The sequence below is a fragment of the Homo sapiens genome, chromosome 1 (genome assembly GCF_000001405.40).
Source record: "Homo sapiens chromosome 1, GRCh38.p14 Primary Assembly".
In the NCBI taxonomy this organism is placed as follows: domain Eukaryota; kingdom Metazoa; phylum Chordata; class Mammalia; order Primates; family Hominidae; genus Homo; species Homo sapiens.
In genome coordinates this window covers 82,867,049-82,888,786 of record NC_000001.11, presented here as the reverse complement: position 1 = coordinate 82,888,786, position 21,738 = coordinate 82,867,049, and the positions used below count along the sequence as shown (strand labels likewise).

Below are 21,738 nucleotides of genomic sequence, written 5' to 3'. Positions count from 1 at the left end.
ATGTTTGTGTGTGCATGTGTCTATGTGTGATTTTCCCAAGATTACATAGCTAATAAATGTCAGAGCTGGGTTTCAACACCAAGAGACTTAGAAAAATGAATACCAATACAAATTTTAAAATATACTAGGTAATAAAACAAGGGTAAAAACATAAGAGATTTATTACATCCAGTGGATAAAAAAGGAAACCAATGAAGTGAGTAAGCAAATGGGTCTTAAACATAGCCCTCTGATGCAAATGGCTCCATGGCTTCTGGGACCTCGGCCTAAGTGTCTAATGGAGAACCTCAAAGGCAAAGCATGAAGGACAAAGGATATGACCGGACCTTATTTTTTGCCAAGCTCATGACCCTCAGGCATCTGGCTCTGCACTGTGCGCAAAGCCAGCACGATCAACAATGAATAGACCTAAGTATTCAACAGCTCTGCTTTTGCCTGGCTCATAAAAGGGCGCTAACTTGGCCGGGCGCGGTGGCTCACGCCTGTAATCCCAGCACTTTGGGAGGCCGAGGCGGGCAGATCACGAGGTCAGGACATCGAGTCCATCCTGGCTAACACGGTGAAACCCCGTCTCTACTAAAGATACAAAAAATTAGCCGGGCATGGTGGCAGGCGCCTGTGGTCCCAGCTACTCGGGAGGCTGAGGCAGGAGAATGGTGTGAACCCGGGAGGCGGAGCTTGCAGTGAGCAGAGATGGTGCCACTGAACTCCAGCCTGGGTGACAGAGCGAGATTCGGTCTCAAAAAAAAAAAAAAAAAAGGAGCTAACTTACTTGGGTAACTTACTCTCTTCTCAGTAGGCTCCAAAGGCCTGTATGGTCTTATCAACAGGTATACTTATGCTTTGGATCTTGATTCTGTAACTTCCTAGAGATAGAGATTTGTCCAAGTTACTTAAACCTTATGCACCTCAGATTTGACAGGTATGCAGTGCCTTTGTGAAAACTGAATAAAATAAGATTTAAGACATCAGTCATCTCATGAAGCCCATAAGAGTTAGGTGTGTGCCATCAGTACTAGAAGTAGCAATCAAGTCATAAATTGTATTTGCACCCTTATTGTGTTCAGTGCGGTTGACTCCTGAAGCCCCACAAGCAATTGGTTGATGCTTAATTAGAATTAATTTACCACAGTGTTTAAAAAGTTTTCCACAATCTTTACTGTCATCAAATCTGAAGTTCTTAATTCTTGCACCTGGTTATGATTTCTTCTGTCTTTTGGGTTGAAATTTTGTGATAATGATACTCTTTGTAGTAGGGTTTGACCTACATGTTTCTTCTTTCATCTTAATGCAATGCAAAGAAAAATGCAAGCATACATATTTTGGGTGATAAATCCTATGATTTAAATCTGTTGCTTGTTCTTATACTATAATTTTCCAACTTTACATTTTTGAAACAGTTATTTAGTAATAAGTTTGAACTGACTTCTTTTTACCCGTTAGCAGAATGGGTGTGATATTCATCCATGTTTCTGCAAAGAAGAAAAAATTAATACATTCAGACCTGGGGAAGATATTCAATTATATTGATTATTTTTCCTGAATGAACATAATATTTCTTAATGGAAATAATATTCCATATAGTTCAAAGAAAAAACATAAATGCAAAGAACCAACATGTTACTCTTCTCTCTCTCTCTAGTGGTACCGCATGAAAGGTGATATGGTTTAAAATATTGTTATTGATGGCCGGGCATAGTGGCTATCACCTATAATCCCAGCACGTTGGGAGGCCAAGGTGGGCAGATCACGAGGTCAGGAGATCGAGACCATCCTGGCTAACACAGTAAAACACCGTCTCTACCAAAAGTACAAAAAATTAGCGGGGCATGGTTGCACGTGCCTGTAGTCCCAGCTACTTGGGAGGCTGAGGCAGGAGAATTGCTTGAACCTGGGAGGTGGAGGTTGCAGTGAGCCAAGATTGCACCACTGCACTTCAGCCTGGGCAACAGAGGGAGACTCCCTCTCAAAAAAAAAAAAAAAAAAATTAACTGTTATTGTTTAGTTCTGCTTTGAAAATTTAAAAAAAAAAAAGTTAATCTTTCTGATAGTCACATGGGCAATCACTCCCGGTATCTTTTATACCAAAGGGGCAGTGTCGGGACAAGGCTAAAGTAGTTGTGTAGGTCTCTTGTACAAAGAACTATGATGTAAACCTAATATCTTAAAAATAAGGGCAAAGGGGGAGTAGTGGAAATCCGATTTGGCCAATTTAAAGCTAGTTCCCTTCCAAGCACCCCTCCCTACTCCCAGATCAGCATCATGTCAATCTTAGACTGGCTAGATGTAAGAACATACATTTACATAGTGGTTAAGAACGAGAGAGAAATCTATGGATTTAGACCTCATAGTGGCACTTCATAGCTATTTTGCTTTTGAAGAGTTATGTACTCTCTTTATGCCTAAGTTTTCAAACTTATAAAATAGGAACACTAGTATCACCTACTCACAGACTTCTTAGGAGAAGTACATGAGCTAACACCACAAAACAGAATAGTTCGTGGCATGCCGTAAGCATATTAACATACATATGTAAGCTAAGAAATATTGGCTATTATATCTCTGGATCCAGTGACATTACACATATATTTCGATATTGCTTGCCAGTTTGGAATGCCTGTGCTTCTAGTATCCTGGTTGTTGGTTCTTTGAGGCATTGAAAGGAACATATGTAACTGTCAGTTTTGCAGCTGAGAAAGGAGTACACGGGTATAAATGTGCATCTACAGGAAAAATATAAACTTAAGCAGCTAAGTATTCTGTTTATATCAGATATCATGGATAATGGTCTACTTGCTTTTGCCAAAGAGTAAAATAATTTGGGATATATTTCTGACATTTGTATTAGCTCTAACAGCTGACAAAAACGTTTAGTCTAGTGACCCATTCATGCCCAGAAACAAGTGTTTGCTGGCTGTATTTTGTGCCTTCTGTAAGACCTCTAGGCTTTATTTAACTGTCATTTTCTAGAAACGATATTAAGATAGACCAATGTAATACAAGAGTGAAAGGAGTTGAAAATAACTCATACACATAGTAAAATAACAGGACATTATTGCAAACTGCTGCTTCTTTGAACTTGAAGTTGCTCCTGGACCACTGTGATTTTTGTTCATAGTATAAACCTTTCTACATCTATTGAATTTTATTAAGTGCTTTATAGAAGAACTTAGATAAGCTATCGTTTCTTTATAATAAGCATACATCATCTGAGAGCACAGACATACGTGCATGTTTATTAACACACACACACATCCAAAAGTAATACCATAAAAGGTGCTGCTATATTCATTGTGTTGCTGACATATCTGATTGATGAATCACTGATATAATTTTTCTCATTAAAAACAGATAAAGCCCTCTTACTTTGAGAAAGGGTCTACAATCAGCCTAAAAGGATCTACAGTTTCTTCACCTACTTTATTTCACAGGTTATATGAATTTTACTGTTTCCTTGAAATGATGCATCACTTAGCTCCTGATCACTCCATGCTAGCCAGTCTCTCTTTTGGTCTTATTTTTCAGCATTTGATAAATGGAACATATTGTCTCATGATAATTTGAATGTTCCTTTCTGCTTTTCTTACATTCAGGAAGATCTAAAATGGTGATAAAATTTAACCATAATGACTTGGTCAACATCGTTGTAAAACTCATCATTCCCCTCATTTAAGTCTTTACGCTGGACTCTGACAGTTACATCCTAACAGCGGGGACTGAGTCTTACTCATATTTGTATATTCAGTGCAAGTGACCTGGTATATATTCGGTCCTCAAGACATCTTTGCTGAACTGTTGAGTTGAAATAACCAATTTTCTTAGTTTTTAAACATATATCTGAGAGGTGAAGCCAGCTAGACTTCCTGGGTCGAGTGGGGACTTGGATAACTTTTCTGTCTAGCTAAAGTTTTGTAAATGCACCAATCCACACTCTGTAAAAACGCACCAATCAGCACTCTGTAAAAACGCACCAAACAGCGCTCTGTGTCTAGCTAAAGATTTGCAAATGCACAAGTCAGCACTCTGTAAAAACGGACCAATCAGCACTCTGTAAAATGGACCAATCAGCAGGATGTGGGCAGGACCAAATAAGGAAATAAAAGCTAGCCACCCGAGGCAGCAGCGGCAACGTGATTGGGTGCCCTTCCATGCTGTGGAAGCTTTGTTCTTTCATTCTTCATAATAAATGTTGCCACTGCTCACTCTTTGGGTCCGCACTACCTTTATGAGCTGTAACACTCACTGGGAAGGTCTGCAGCTTCACTCCTGAAGTCAGCAAGACCACGAACCCGCAGAAGGAAGAAACTCTGGACACATCTGAACATCGGAAGGAACAAACTCCTGACACACCATCTTTAAGAGCTGTAACACTCACCAGGAGAGTCGGTGGCTTCATTCTTGAAGTCAGCAAGACCAAGAAGCCACCGGAAGGAACCAATTCCAGACACACATCTATTCTACCTCAAATATTCTTGTTCTCTAAACTTTGTAGCCGGTCTACGTAAATAATCATTCCCTACTATTAGTTTGCAGGAAGTGTGTTTGGGATACAAGCAGATCATTTTGCAAACTATCATAGAAAATTATAGAAAGGTATAGTTTCTTATAAAGCCTCTTGAAAATCTACTTTCCTCATGAAAGCAAGAAGATTCTGACTCAACAGTTCACTTCAGCATGTCCATAATCAAAACCAAGATTTATAAGGATATTTAATAATATGAGAAATGTTCATGCTATGTGTCTAAGTAGAAGAATAAAACTAGGTTGACCCCTGCCCTCTCCCAAGACAGAGACTAAAATAAGCATGTTTTCAAAGAAGTTATCTCTTATAGCCCAAATCCAAAAACTTCAGCTGATTCTTTTGTAGCCTAAGTATGCTTAGCAGGTACTTGACTTGACAATGGTGCGTTTCTTATTCCCAGAAGGCTGCTTGGCCACACGTTAAAAGGTGAGGCAGATATAAACAAAAGTATCCAGTGTTGTTCTGCCTAATAATGTGAAGTGAGTTTTCCAATGTTAAAGAGGTGACTGCATAATTCAGGAAGCTAGTTTACACTCTGCCTCCTCAATAGCAGCAATACTAATAGCATTCATATAGCACCCACTGTATGCCAGACACTAAGCATATACATATTATTTCATACATACAATATTCCATGAGTAAAGTAATGATAATATCCCCATTTTGCCTTTGCATTTCCACACAGAGGCCTGAGTTTGGGAGAGGAAGATCAGAAACTGTAGAGTGCCCAGGAAGCCAAGAATGAGATTAACTTCTTGGTTGCCTTTCTCTTAAATTATGAGAAAATCAAATTGAATAAACATGCTTACAGTGTTCTTCCTTTTATTGTAATTCCATTAGTTACCCAAGCACATTAAAAAGTCAAATATGGAGACAGAGACTTGAGTTAAGATGCTGTGAAAAGTAAATGGACAAAAAGTAAAGAAAAGTGTAACCTACCTGATATCCCCCCACCAGTCACCATGTTTCAGGATGGAAGCAATATGCTAGAAAGACCGGGTCCCAGAGTTCCAATGGAGACAGCCTAAAGTGAGAAGCAAAGCTGAAATAGCTGAGAAAGAATATGACTGTGAAGAACAAAGTCTTAGACTAACTCAGCAACAAGAAATATCCTTCCTCATGCCACATGTTACAAATCAGAGCAGGTGAGACTAGTCAGGGGTGGGCATAAAGGCTGACACTTGGGCTACATGAGGTGAAGTAATACAAGCAATTAAAAGAACAGTCTGATACTAAAAGAGAAGTCTATGTGCATATGTTAGCAATGATTATGCGTGAAGGGAGAGTGAGTGACTTTTATTTGCTTTTTGTGCTATTGTGCATTTTCTAATATAATTATGATTTATGAGTACAACTTTTTATAACAGAGAAATGCTATTAAACAGGAATTATACAGACATAATCATAGCCAAGCATGGCACTAAGTACTTTAAAGATTATCACATTTAGAAAGGCACTGTCTCTTAGACACCAGGGAAATTAATGCCAAAAGCCTGCTCCACCACCTACCAGTTTTGGATTTCGGGCAAGTTGTTTCAACTCTCCTTGCCTCCATATTTTCAGCTATAAGATAAGGACAGTATTAGTTTCTCATATATAGCATTGCAAAAAGGATTAAATTAAATAATACATGTAAAGCACTTAGACTAGGACCCAGCATACAGTAAGTAATTAGCTTTTTTAAATTTTCAAAATCACACTATAGAGAATAATGAAGCAGAAAAGTTGTAGTCTCTCGTCTAAGGTCACAAAGCAGGGAAAGGTTGGGATCAAAATTTGAATACTGATACAGCTGGACCAAATGTAATGTTATTCTAATATTCTATTATTGCTATTAGTGAAACATTCAGACTCATGGGATCATTGAGTGATTCTCTGGCCATCTGATTAAAATAGAAACATCCTTTTCCTTCTTTCTTCCCTGCTTTCCTCCTCTTCCTTCTTCCCTCTGTTTCTCTCTCTCTATTTCCAGGTTTTTTTCTTTACAATTCTCTAGTCCAAAGCTATGGGAATGTAAACACAGATGAAGATAACATTGATGTTGGATTAAGAGGTTTATTTTTAAAAACATACACAAAAGACAGGTTGTTAAACAAAATAGATGTTATTTCTCTCTCACATAACAGTCCAGAGGTGAGAAAAGCATGATTGGTGAGACAACTCCACTATTCTCAAAACATGACTTCCAGAGTTTTTCCAGGAATCAACATTTCTTAGCCAGCAGGAATGGGGGGAAGAAAGAGTTCATGGCAAGTACATTTAAAGAAATAATTGAAAAGTGGCATGTGTCACTTCCACACCCATCATATTGATCTGAAAGGTCAAACTTAGCTGTAAAAGAGGATGGGAAATAAAGTTACTAGGTTCTAATACTAAATACTGAAGGGGAAAACAGATCAAGAATGGGGCAGTTTCAGGGTCATCTATAAGGAGCATAGCAAGCATAGGTACATAATTACCATTCTGACTCTCTTTTATAATAAATATTTGTGTCAAAGATTGGTAGTAGAAAGTTCCATGGTTACTGTGGAAAGAGTTTATCACAGATTTTGTATTCATTGTTGCCATATTTATGAAACCAGCACCATTCTTCTATTACAATTGATGCTTTTGCTTCCTGTTTCAGTACTACCTACACTAACAGTGCCCTCAGAATTGTGCAATGCAGCAACACTGGTAGAATTGTTTTTGTTTGTGTTTTATTATTATTATTATTATTAAAGTGCACTTTAAGTTCAAAGTTACATTGAATGATAGTGCAGGAAATATCTCCACGAAACATGCCAAAGCCTTTATGCTTTTGGAGGTGAGAGGAGGAAAAGATACTGACATGTATTTGACTCCATCATTCAGCATTCCATGAGGATTCTCTTAGACCTCAGTGGTGGTAAAATCTTTTTGACAATGTTTTCTACCATTGAAAATAATGTGAATCATTCAATTGTTCTTTTTTGGCTACTAGGAAAATTAGAGCATATTCCACGGTCTATTTTTTTAAATTTATAAGGTTGGTGTGTCAAATTTTTTTCTTTTAATATTCTACTTTATTTTCCTTCATTCTGATTTATTTAAATTTGTATGTGTCTTTATAATTCACCTGTTGGAGTGATATGTATATGTAAACATATACACAAATGCTGAAAATTTTATCATAGTATGGCACTCTGAAACTGTTACATTCCCTTACTATACAATAATTACTTAAAGAATTAGGAATATCTAAAGATTGCAATTGTTACTTTAACATAAAGCATCTTTAAATTTTAAAATGATTTTAAAAATTAATTAGTAGGTTTGATTATTCCCTTATTGCAAGACATGAACGTAAAACTGTGAGTTGGTAAATTGAGAACTTATTTTTAGTTTGGAACAACTGCTATCAATTTAAATTGTGCTTAATTAGGAAATGGTAGTGCTTACATATGGCACTATATCTTCAGTAGATTTGGAAACTAAGAAGGATTTTGCTTATGATAGAAAACTGAAATGCCCATAGTGACTCTAACATTTGTTTTTTAAGCATGAGGGTAAAAAGATGAATCACTTTAGGGGAAAACTTGTGACTCACAGTGCAAGTTTTAACACCTTTCCTGTGATTACCTATACCTCTGGCAGAAAAATCTTTTCTGACCCTATGGGTCTTTGCCACGGTTTAAGCCAATTGGGACTTTTTGGAATGGTGGATAATCAATTTAGCCTGATTAAATGCAGTTCCCATCTTAAATTATGCAAAGTGTAAGGACCCACGGGTCGAAACTGAGGTAGAATTGAGACCCGTAGGCATTCTCGCAGTTTAAGCCATGGAGGGCTATGGAGACTATGCTATGGGAATGTGATTTTTAGTTGAATTGCTTTCAATAATTCTTCTTGCTTAAAAGCAAATAATGATGCATGCTGCTAAAGTCCAAAGAAGAAAAATAGTTTAATGATTTAGGTTATGAACATCAGTATTAAAAAACCTAAAATGCAAAGCCCCTTCAGTCGATAACAGGACAGTTTTGTAAACCACTTAAGGCTGTGATAAAATCCTACTTGACTGGCCCACGAGCAGATGTGACAAGTTGAATTTATTTCCTCTCTTACCAGGAAGCTTTGCAGGAAACTCTTAACATATGGTGCTTTTCGCTTCCATCTAGAACTATAAATGTTATTGGAAAAGGATGTTCCCAAGAGCAGTGAGTTTCTGACGTCTCTGCCAAATGGAGTCCAAATGATCCTTCTGTGGTTCTGAATTCCCTGAGTTCTTAGGAGTTGGCAACCAAGGGTCTCTGATCTAAACACAGCTCACTAATTTAATTATTTTATTATAGATTTGTGGAAGCTCTTTCAGACCAGTGACTTAGCATCTGTATTGTATCTAGCTATACAGGAAGCACAAGTTAGAAGGGTGTAAATATTTTGTTTCTTAACTGCTTTCATTTGAAAGCTTGGAAATCATTTCACACAGAAACCAGGCACCACAAACTGAACACAAAAGAATGTGAAATTGAGATAAGTCAAATTTTAGAGCTTTTTGTATTTAGAGCTTTTTGTATCATATTTAGAGCTTTTTGTATCATACACAGGTCCACCATCTACCACTACATAGTGATATTGTAGTAAATACTCAGTTATTAGCAATCATACAAAAATGAAATATTGCTAAGTAAAAATCATTGACTACCTTATGTTTAGTTTATAATACTCCACAAAGTGTTGAATATGCACCCCAGGGCACATTCTCATTTAATATCTTTTCGGAGCAATTCATTTTAATAAATTAAAAGGACAAAATTGATGCTTGGACCATTAGAAGTTTGCTGCTAGCTGAAGCAACATCATGATTGCTAAATTGAAACTGATGGCACCATGGCACCAACTAGTTTATATTTTCAGTGCAATGAACTATGTTGAAATGTCATTCAGTTTAAGATAACCAAATATAGTAAAGTTAAAAAAATCTGAAAATGGACATTTACTGTGTTATAAGTATTATATATTTCCAGACTGATTACTAAAGCATCATGTATGAAACATACACATGCTTTAACATTTTATAGCTTTTTTTTTTTTTTTTTTTTTTTTTTTGAGACAGAGTCTCGCCCTGTCTCCTAGGCTGTAGTGCGGTGGCATGATCTCAGCTCACTGCAACCTCCGCCTCCTGGGTCCAAGTGATTCTCCTGCCTCAGCCTCCTGAGTAGCTGGGGTTACAGACATCCATTTTTAGTAGAGACGGGGTTTTGCCATGTTGGCCAGTCTGGTCTCAAACTCCTGAACTGAAGTGATCCACTTGCCTGGCCTCCCAAAGTGCTGGGATTACCAGCGTGAGCCTATTTTACAGCATTATAGTTGGGATTACATGCCTGGCCTATTTTATAGCATTTTAGTATTATATTAGTACTTATTAAAATACAACCTTTATAGTCATAAATAGGTGTTTTTAGTATATTTTGTAGCTTCCAAATACATAAAATAAGTCCTAAAAACTCAAGTACAATGTATGTGTGTATATATGTCATATATGTATGTATTACTGTGTAAAAATGAATACGTGTGTGCAAGTGTTTAATGAGTTTAGATACAATTTCTCAGAAAAAGTACATACATACTAACCTACCACTCTAAGGCTATAGCAAAACCGTTTGGAAATTTTAATTGTAATTATAATTTAATAGCTGTCTTTAAAAACCTAAATCATAGTATTTGAACGTAAAGCACATCTTAACAAACTAAAAGAAGAAAAATGTATAGTATACCAATAGCTATGCACTTAAAAATACTCGATTACAAACTTAAACAAGTTAATAGAAACTAAGCAGTGATGCAAAATCTTTGAAAAAGCGTTTTTTAAATTCCCATTTTGTCTAATTCTTAAAATTTAAGAATCAAAACACCTTAAAATTATCAAGAATGTTCACTTAGGCTGAATACCCTTATTTAAATAATAATATTAATTTCATCTTTTCTTCAATGTGATGTATAGCATTAACTTCACTCTATCACTATATTGTTAAATGAATTTCCTAATTAGCATAGCACTTCCCAGAAATTCTTAGAAAATATTATCTTTTTTCCATTGGTACTCACCCTTTCCAGGAGACTTTGCTGCTAACTTTAATTATTGTGACCATCAGAATTGTTAAAAGACAAGTACCCTAAAGCAATGCTGAAGAAAGAAAACACAATTCAAAGCTGCCATTTAACTATCATCTCATACGTGCCATTAAGCAAATAGACACATCAACTAATACTGAGATTATATGTACTTCATTATTAATATGATATAAACACACAACCACACAATAGTTATTTTCTCAAATGTTTATTTTTCAAAATTGTTTTAACTTTAAATTGAAAAGAGATTTCATTAAAAACCTACCATGATATATATTATTACTTAACTAATTTTACTTTTTTTCCAGTTTTTACTATTTACATTGGTTCTAAAACTAATTATAGGTTATCAAAATATCCAGCAGAAAAGTAGGATGAAAAGATTCAGTTGTTTAGTATCTATCATGCCACGATTAAGCAATCAAAAATAAGTTGATGGTTGACTAAAATTATCATGTTACAAAACTCTAAATCTTAACTCATGTAATTCTCTCGTTTAAAGGGGGGGAAAACCACAAAATTGAGTATGGTTGAAATCATCATTTAAAAAGAAAAAAAAACAGTTTTCAGGCTCATAGACATTTCAGAACTAGAAGGAGATTTGGATATCACCTAACACAAAACTCCAACTTTACAGATGAGGCAAATGAACCCAGAAACAATGTATTTTTAGAGCTTCAAAGACTATTGCCATTGAATAGAGCTTCAATTTATTTAAAAATAAATTTAAATCAGGACAATTCTGATTATTTCATCCAGGCAGGTATCCCAAATGGACCAAACTGCTGATGTTTAAACCCTCTACATCTTGGCTTTTAAGAAATTGCTTATTCACATTGTCACGTGGATTGAGTGCGGATGATTGGAATAATATGTCAGCGAGCTTTGATGTTAGAAGGGCAGAGATTAACAAGTCCAAATGTTCTCTATCAATAAGGGAGGCCCAGAGAAGTAAGACCAATTCCCAATTAAGTTTGATGTGTCTTTTACTTATTCCAATTCAGTGGGAGTAATTTGTCCACTTCAGATTTTCTCACTCAGGCAAACACAGAAAACTCAATGGAATATAAAAGTTAATTCAAGAGAAGAAATTGAAAGTTTACTGAAGAACAAATTTACCACTCTTTACTTCCATGAGTGTGAATAAATAATAATGACAAGTATATAAGGTTTCCTAAACTGCTGATGAATACTAGACATTCAATTTTACATAAAATGCATCATCAAGTCATATCTGGTTAGTTACTACTTTGGCTCAGATGGTTACCAGTCACTCTTTACATTTTATTTGACTCTTCCCTATCTCATGCCTCACATTCATATATATATACACACACACACACACACACACGTATATATATTGCTATATATATAGCTATATATGTATATATACATATATGTACATATATGTAAATATGAGTGCATATATATAGCAATATGTATATATGTGTGTATATATGTATATATATAGCATATGTATACATGTATGTATATATGTATGTATATATTGCTATATATATTGCTGTATCAGTATATATATTGCTATATATGTATATATATATATTGCTTTCCATGTTTCCTGTGGTCTTTCATCACATTTCATTTGTATTAATTCCTCTAGGCTCTACGTACCTTTATAATATTAAATGTTCTAGATAATAAAAGCTGTCAGCAGTGAAAGTACAACACCAAGAACTTAAAGATGTCCCTCTGAGATTTAATTAACAGTAATTTGACTTGATCCGTGCTATTGACAAATTCACAAAATGAAAAGCTGGCAACATTGAAATATGATGTTCAGCAAAGCAATTTTTTCGCTATCCAGCAGAAAGGAAGAAATATTAGCTAGAGTGATATGTAAGAGGTAACAAAGAGCTAGTGTTAATATTCTAGTTATTCAGGATAATTTATCAGACATCATCATGACCCAGAAATCTCTACATATCACCAACATTTTCTGCTTTTTACCCTCTGAACCTTTCTGTATTCCCAGGTTATGATGACATTTGGAAAGTTGTCTTAAATCACTCTTTAAAAATGGTCAACCATTAGTGCCATATACTATCACTGTGATATGTGGCAATCACTTGGTGCCCACAGTAGGACAGCAATTGTCTCCAGTTTTGTGGTTATTGATATAAAAAAGGCAGTTGAGCATAGTTTAAATGCAATATCCTCTAAACAAAAAGGCTACTGAATAAAGCCATAGAGCACTCAAGACCTGAACCACAGAACATCAAGACAATATATCTCTCACCATCAGCCCATCATGTCCATGACTATCTCCAAATTGACCCTCCATTTTATGGACAGGCAGCTCAAGCTGAGTGGTCAGAAGAAAGCTTATATTCCAGCATAAAACAGGTACAAATTTTCACTCTCTTCTATAATCTGCTACCACCCTGACAGGTGGAGATACAAAGACTTGCTTCTTGCCATGCATTCTTGCCCTGCCCCTAAATGAGAAAAAAAACAGGAGTGGTATCTATATTGTGTCTACTATATTAACATCAGTCAGGTCAATAACATCATATATAAATATCTTTCAGTTCTTATTTTCTCTGCCTTCAAGTAATTTTATGATGAACTTTATGTACTCAAATAATCATGCCTGAAAATTAATACTGCCTCTGTTTATCAAGTACAAACTAAGGGTGATATTTACAAAATTTGAGAGTATAATTGAACATGTATTCATTTTTGAGCTGGGAAAAATCCAGCTGTGTAAATTAGCTCATGTCCACAGGTTCTGAGCATTAAAGAAACTACCGAAGCATTATAAAGCAAAGGCAGATAACACAACCCTAACTTTGACCCAAGACAACAAACTTAAAGAAATTCTGGCCTTGGAGTCAGATGTCTTGGCCAGGGTTTCCCCTTCTGCCTTTGCTTTTACTCTCTGATATGGTTTGGCTCTGTGTCCCCACCCAAATGTCACCTTGAATGGTAATCCCTATAATTCCCACATGTCAAGGGAGAGACCAGGTGGAGGTAATTGAATCATGGTGGCAGTGCAGTTTCGTCTATGCTGTTGTTGTGATAGTGAATTCTCACAAGATCTGATGGTTTTATAAGGGGCTCTTTCCCCATTGCTCAGCACTTCTCCTTCCTGCCGCCTTGTGAAGAAGGTGCCTTGCTTCCCCTTCACCTTCCACCATGACTGTTGAGTTTCCTGAGGCCTCCCCAGCCATGCTGAACTGTGAGTCAATTAAATCTCTTTCTTTTAAAAATTACCCAGTCTTTATAGCCGTATGTAGATGGGCCAATACACTCTCTTTGTGACCTCAGATAAATCACTGATCTTCTCTAACCTACAGTTTTAATATCTTCAAAAGGAAAGTGACATAGTTTGTTGCAGGGATTAAGGGAATTCTTGTTTATGAAAGTGGCCTCACAACTTATAAAACTCATCTATAAATTTGAAGATTGTTGCAGACGGTAATCATCAGACTTATTAGATATAATGTTCTTGTGATTGTATCTGCACAGGTTTATACAATATTGGCTTTAAAACAAACAAACAACAATAAACTTTGGTAAAACCGCCCCCACCCCAAATCGTCAGACCTTAGTATTATCGTATTTGTCCATTTTGTTTATCTTCTAAAATGATCTGAATTGAAGCTACAATAAACTCTGAGTACAAACTCCTATCAATAGAAGTCTCTCATCTCTTCACTTCTAATGAAATCTGTTTCTCAGTCTCATTATTACCCCCTCCCCATTCCTTGGTAGCTCACTACTGTCTCAGTTCATCAGCCCCTCTTCTGGCCTCATTTGCTTGCCTAACCAGCCTTGACACTAGGGTCAGCCACTTTATTAGATTTTCACACTCTCTTTCCCCAGGGCTGCCATTCCAATCCCCAAGAATGGGTAAATAACATCATCTGCCTTCCAAGCCCACAGTCCCAAGCTGCCAAACATTGCTGATGAAAGTCACAAAGCCAGGTTGACTGGTTCCACTACAGTTCCAAGCTACCTAAAATCAGCTGGGCCCTCCTTCCTGCTTGATAGTACTTGTTCTCATTGCTGATTTACAGCCTTTTGTATCCCCTATAGTGTCAATTCCAAGATTTCTTCCTGCCCTCAGTTTCTTATGTGATATGATCTCCCAGTACATAGAGAAAGTCAAGGCCAATGCTTGCTTTCTCCCTTTTTCTTCTATGTAAAAGCTGAACTTTCCCTCTGATCTCATAGAAGGTGCCCTCCTCTCTCCTGCTAAGCCTTTCACTTGTACCTTTCACCAGTGCCTTCCCTCTTTTTTGCTAAGGCTTTATCACATCCTTTTTCTACATATCCTCATAACAAGTTTTTCCTTTGTCCAAGCACTACCTGGTTTTGCGATTTTGTCTCTCTCTCTCTCTTTTTCCTTTTCTTTCTTTCTTTTTTTTTTTTTTTGTAAAATTTCTTGAAAGGAAAGGGTAGTTCACACTTATTGTTTCCACTTTCTTGCCACCTACTCACTCCTTGGGATCTGCTTTCTGCTCCAATAAGTAAATCCAATGACAGTTTTCCAGCCCTCCCTGTTTTTGTTCTTTGTAAAGCAATTGACATTTCTAACACTGCACTGTCTTAAAATCTTCCACTGCATTCTCTCCAGTACCACCCTTCTCCAGCTCGCATTTCATTTCAGTGGTATTCATATTTTCCTAGATACCCAAGATTAAAACTTTGGAGCAGTACTTGCCTCCTTACTCTTCTCTGCACCTTATGGCCAGGAGTTGACATGTTGTATTGCTTCAATTTCCGCAGTATCTCTCACATTTTTATTCTTTCTGAAATTACTTTTTCCAGTACTACCAAAACAGATTAACACAATTTTCTCCTAACCCTTTCTCTTTTAAGTCTTTTCTCTGACAATATATTTGCACCTTGGAATTTTGAAGTTCTTCCATCAGTCCCAATTTACCTTTTTATTCTTAGCTCTTCCCACCTTTATAAAGTCAAAGAGGACTCTTTGCTCATCTCTTTATAAAACCTGAGGTTATTGGCCATTTACTTCTACACAGAGGTGGAAAGTAGGGGAAGAAGACAAGACAAATCACATTATGTGACGTTTGCCCCTCTAAGCCAAATACTGCTGATACAGAAGACATCTGATGAAAAAGAATACAAAGTGATGGGTACACAGATATCTTCCAATTGTGAAAATTAGATTCATCAAACTGTACATGTGTGGTATATGTGCCCTTCTGTGTGTATAATACACTTTAGAATAATATATTTCCATTAAAGTGTATATATAATGTCATTTTCTGTTTATATAATTGAATTCAATAACTTTTTTAAAAGTCACAGCAAAACAGGCATAAATGAGCAAGAAAGAGGAAACGATGACATTATACAGTCACAGCATTGGGTTTGTTGAAAAAACACAATTGCTGTGACTACAGAAAGGCTAAGCAAACAAACAAAAAAAAGCAAGCAAATTTCTTTTGTCAGGGTTCCCTGAGTTCTTTAAAATGTGTGGTGCCAAAAGAAGCATTAGAATCTTCAGGACACCAAGATTACCCTTAATCTAGAGCAAACTTTTTATTTGGCTATGACTTATGACAGCACTTTAGATAAGAGAGGTAAGAGGACATTTGCAATTATAAGTGTCTCTGAATTTATAATATTATATGTTTCCAAAAGTCATTCAATGACCCACAAAAGCAACCCATCAGATGGCAAAGTCAAGTTGCTGGTACATTTATGCTCTTAATTTAGAGATGGGATAACAGCACTCTTCTTGAGTTGTTTTTTCTAAACATCTTATGGTTATCTGCCTAAGTAGTATACTTCAGTATTTAAGTGTAGGCTAAAGGGTCAAATAACGCAGACCTGGCTATTGATTCCAGCTTGGCTTTTTTTTGGCTTTGTGACCTGGAATATATCCTGAGCTCTGTGAGTTTCTGTTTTCTCATTTGTAAAATGAACATAACAACCATCTTGCAGAAATGTGAGGAAGAGAAAGGATATATGTAATTTAATAACACAACATTGGAAATAATAAGCACACTCAATAAACAGCTGTTAACTCTTATTTGTAAAATAAGGAGGCTGAGGTAGATAGTCTCCTCTAGTTCTAACTTTCTATTCTTTATATGTTGCCTTTTTCCATAATAGTGGCCCTTGATTACAGGTCCTGAGAAAATATTAAAAAATGAGTCAGCCAATCTGGTTTGTTGAATCTTAATAACATTACAGTATCAGTAGAAATTTGGGGAGCTAAAATTTGAACATTATCTAGCCAATCTCAAAAAGTAAATGATTTCCCATTTTAGCATCCTTGAATCAATGTGTCAAGTTGGTCTTTGCTTCAATTTCAAAGTTGTTTTTCTAGGGGACCTTTTAAAATTTCTCCTTTGTTTTTAATACATTTTTTCTTATTGCTAGAGTAAATAAAAACCAATATTACATTACATGGAAAACATTCTAAGGAAATATAGGTTTACGTTAGACCATTTAATTTTCTCATAATGGAAAATGAAGCAGAATACATAATATCCATTGTACCAGTGTATGTGACTCAGCTCCTTCAAAACTAAAGCACTCATTCTCTTGATGCCAGGGATGTTAGTTACTGACCCCTATGGCTGAGTCTGTCTCTGGCCTCACAAAGGTTTACAGTCTCTTTCCCAGATAGAGGTAACCTAAATTCAGTTACTGATAAATTCAGGATTTGGTGGGCTGAACCTCTTTCCTCAGTTCAAAGCAATTCTAAAGGGTCATCCCAGCTCCCAAGATCCTTGTGGAATTGGTTGAGGTGTCTCTTGTAATTTTTCCCTCTGACCAATCCGGTCTTGTTTACTGTAATAGATATTGTTCCTAGAAATGAAGCATTTGCATGCAACTTTGCATCTCAGAATAAGTTTCCTAGGAAAACTGTCCTACTACAACTATTATCAAATATTTGAAAATAATTGGAAAGACATTTTCATTGAATAGTTAAAAAACTCTCTGCCTAAGCTCAAAGTCCAAAATCAGGCCCCCAAATATTTTGAAGTCATCTTCATCCAGATACCAGTCTTATATTAACTCAGCAAATTTCTACAGATACAAGAGGAGAAGAAATGTAGAATCTTGGTCAACTGTGGAACAAAAATCCAATCTGGTTTTTATATGGCACCTAATATAACCTGGAAGATCTGTAAATAACTAGGGAATTTGATCTTCTCCATTTGTGAAGTGGTTGGCTTTGTTAAGTTTGCCTGTGGATAACTTGTGGGTCATACTGAGACTGCTGTGCAGCCTCACAAACTCCATGATGGGGTGATAGGCTCAGAGGAATGTGGCATGCCTTGGAATCCCATACTGCTTAAAAGCGGATGGCTGCAGTCAGCTGAGTATCATGGATAAGCACAGTATCCAGTAAATGAGTTCACATTTATTTTCCCTCTGGACATTCTGTATCTGTACACACCTGGTAAGATGACTACCTTTGCATTTGCCAGGTACCTGCTTATCCAGGAGCTACGGTACAGTTAGTGCTTATGCCATAAAGATAAAGTGTCAGTGAAAAAATGATCCAAGCAGTTAACATAACTCCTATTACCAATAAATAGTTACACAGGAAAGATACTAGCTCAACAAAAAACTAGTTGAGAATAATAGCCCAATAATAGAACTTAGAGAACCATGAGACATAAAGTAAATGTCTAAGTCAGCAGTTCTCAAACTTTTTGGTCTCAGGTATTCCTTATGCTAAAAATTTATTAATGAGTCCAAACAGCTTTGGTTATGTGAGTTATATCTATCAATATTTACTACACTGGAGATGAATTTTGAGAATTTTAAAAAATATTTATGTAAATCGCAATAAAAAACTGCAACATGGGAATATAATCAGCATATTTTTATTAAAATTTTTTCCAGAATGAAAACAATTTTTTGAAAAGTAGCATTTCTACTTTTACATTTAATCTCTTGCAATATATTGTTTTGAACTACATAAAGAGAATCTGGCCTCATGCTGATATGTTGTTGGAAAAGGAAGAGATATTTTAATAGCCTTTTCAGATAACTGTTAATATTCTTCTTTGAGATTTACCATAATTTGTCACATTAGTGTCTTACGGTTAGTGTCAATGTGCAATCTGAAAACATATGGTGAACTTTTCCTGCTCTAATATTAAAAACTTTTGACTAACTTGCACTTTGAATGTGCTTTTTACCCATGTATAATTTTGTAACATCATAAATTTGTGATGTTTAAAATATTGATTCATTGAGCAATATAGATTTTCCAAATCTTGACACATTTCTTTACACAATAAAAAAAAGTCACACTTATGAATACCCCCACCCATCTCATTAGAAAAATATTTAAGTATTGGGAAACTGTCCAAAATCCCATTCTTCCCAAATTCTAATTTTTCCTTGAAACCTCAGATTTTATCATTGTCAACAGATACTGTATTATTTCCTTGACATGACAAGTTAACCTAGTTCATTTTTGAGAAAACATCTGTCAAGTAGCCACGTCTGTCAGCCAATCATTCTTTTAAGTAAAAATGATGTTCCATGGAAACTACAGCTAGTTCAGCTCACAACTCCATCATCCACGTGCTTTTTCCTGAGTCAATCATCATGCTTCCTTGTGGAGCAGAATTTGTTTTTCATACTTCCCATTTTGCCCACAAAAAAATTAAGGGAAATATAATAAGAGGTAGAGGCCTAAGGAAATTAGTAATTCTTACTGCTGCTTCAACAACATTTTTTGGTGAAATAACCACTTTTTTTTTTTTTTTACAGCAAGAACCTATCTATCTGTGAAGAATATGATGACTACTATTATGGTTTGATGGTACTGCCTTAATTCCTAATAGGACACCAGCAATTTTATACTCTGTTGCTTTTACTTCATCAGTGCAAAAATTATTACAGTGGAAACCACAAAAAACATCTTAGTGTTTATATAAAAATAGTTTTGACCTTGCAGACTCCTGAAAATATCTCAGCTACACCCAGGGGTTTTGTGGACCACATTTTGAGATCTGCTGCTCTAGACTAGAACTGGCCCCAGGGCAAAAACCAATATTTTGGTTGAACATTGGGCACTATTAGAGCTTCCTATCTCACCAGGGCAAGAGAGAGAGCAGAGATTAAAATCCAAATTACCTTCCTCTGTTTTCTTTTCTACCCGAATCACAAATACAAAACTGGAGTTGAAAGTTTTTGTATTTGTATTTCCAAGAAAAATGAGTTTAATGACTATAAAAATGGATTTTCCCCCTGTGGCAGCAGCCTTATAAACTATATCCACTAAACCTTTTTTCATTTATCCCTTCTGAAAGTAAAAGTGGCTAACTAAACTCTATGGCTGGCTCAGCTCCCTGACTCTAAGACCAGGTAAATGCTCATTGTGTTGCTGTCTTAGATACCCTGAACAAAAGTAATTGCATCAATTCTCTTCATATAGTGCTTCTGTGTAAAACATTTTCTTCTCCCTTCAAAAAATGTTTTCCTATATCAAACAGAAATCTAAGGCTGTAGTATAAATCTGCCTTCCTCACTCTCCTCACTCTCTCATTAGGTCCATGAGGAACAGCTAGTCAGCATGCTCATTATCAATGGCCAGGCGTGTATTTAAACAGATTTTAAGTCACCCTCCAGCCTTCTTGCTCCTTCAGGCTAAACAATCCTAGTTATTAACCTTTCCTCTCAGCCTTTATTTTCTTACCTTTTTATCATTTTTGTTGCTCTTTGTTGGACTCTCTCCAGTTTTGCCACATTCCCCTAAAGTGTTGAGAACAAAACTAGACACTATCCGTTAATAAGGTCTTCACCAGTGCCGTAGAAACGAAATCTTACTTCCTGGGCTTGGCATGTCATATTTACGTTAATATATTACCATGTTAGGCTTTTAAATAACAGCACTGTTTTGCTGACTGGTATTCATCTTAGGTTTGCAATCCCTCCAGACTTTCTGTTGTAGTCACGCTGAAGCAGACAGAACCTATCTTTAATCTCTGCCTTTTGCTTCTGGCTTCTGAGTGTCATATCTTACCCTGAAGCAGCAGTAAAAATTACTAATTTCCTTAAGCCTCTACCTCTTATTATACTTTATTTTATTTTCCCCTAGTTATTTCTGCCAATTTCCCTAATTTATCAAGCTCATGGTGAGCTATTCCTGGCTTCCAAGATGTAAACAATACCAACCACTTAATATCATGCACGCACACTCTTGATTCTATCATGCCAGACATTCTTTTAGAAGTACCACTTGATTTAAGGCACATTATTTTCCAGTTACAGAAGGCGGAAGTGCAGTCACTAAAATGGGCTTCCCAAAGTAACCCTTTTCCTATTTTTGCACTACCTATAGAGGTGCCTGCATCCCATCAAAAACAGAAATAAGTGGTCGCGTGCAGTGGTTCACTCCTGTAATCCCAGCACTTTGGGAGGCCGAAGCGGGAGAATCAGTCGAGCCCACAAGTTCGAGACTAGCCTGGGTAACAAAGCGAGACCCCCATCTCTACAAAAAATTAAAAAAATCTACTCATCTGACAAAGGGCTAATATCCAGAATCTACAAAGAACTCAAACAAATTTACAAGAAAAAAACAAACAACCCCATCAAAAAGTGGGCAAAGGATATGAACAGACACTTCTCAAAAGAAGACATTTCTGCAGCCAACAGACACATGAAAAAATACTCATCATCACTGGCCATCAGAAAAATGCAAATCAAAACCACAATGAGATACCACCTCACACCAGTTAGAATGGCGATCATTAAAAAGTCAGGAAACAACAGGTGCTGGAGAGGATGTGGAGAAATAGGAACACTTTTACACTGTTGGTGGGACTGTCAACTAGTTCAACCATTGTTGAAGACAGTGTGGTGATTCCTCAAGGATCTAGAACTAGAAATACCATTTGACCCAGCAATCCCACTACTGGATATATACCCAAAGTATTATAAATCATGCTGCTAAAAATACACACACACACATATATATTTATTGTGGTACTATTCACAATAGCAAAGACTTGGAACCAACCCACATGTCCATCAATGATAGACTGGATTAAGAAAATGTGGCACATATATACCATAGAATACTATGCAGCCATAAAAAATGATGAGTTCATGCCCTTTGTAGGGACATGGATGGATGAAGCTGGAAACCATCATTC

The 21,738-nt window shown here is 36.2% G+C and overlaps 1 long non-coding RNA gene across 1 annotated transcript, besides 1 other annotated feature; it reads right to left on the bottom strand.

Annotated features, from left to right (window-relative positions):
• Positions 1-1,425: 1,425 nt before the first annotated feature.
• LOC107985396 (uncharacterized) lies at positions 1,426-20,404 on the bottom strand. The gene is made up of 4 exons (XR_001737794.1): positions 20,280-20,404; positions 6,032-6,085; positions 5,462-5,546; positions 1,426-1,472 (listed from the first exon to the last, which is right to left on the bottom strand). It is a non-coding gene; the product is annotated as an uncharacterized LOC107985396 (long non-coding RNA).
• Positions 8,199-9,104: an enhancer, noted in NCBI's record as "VISTA enhancer hs442". NCBI's record gives its function as "enhancer in: other[3/3]" and the evidence as "EXISTENCE:transgenic organism evidence [ECO:0001131][PMID:17130149]".
• Positions 20,405-21,738: the final 1,334 nt, after the last annotated feature.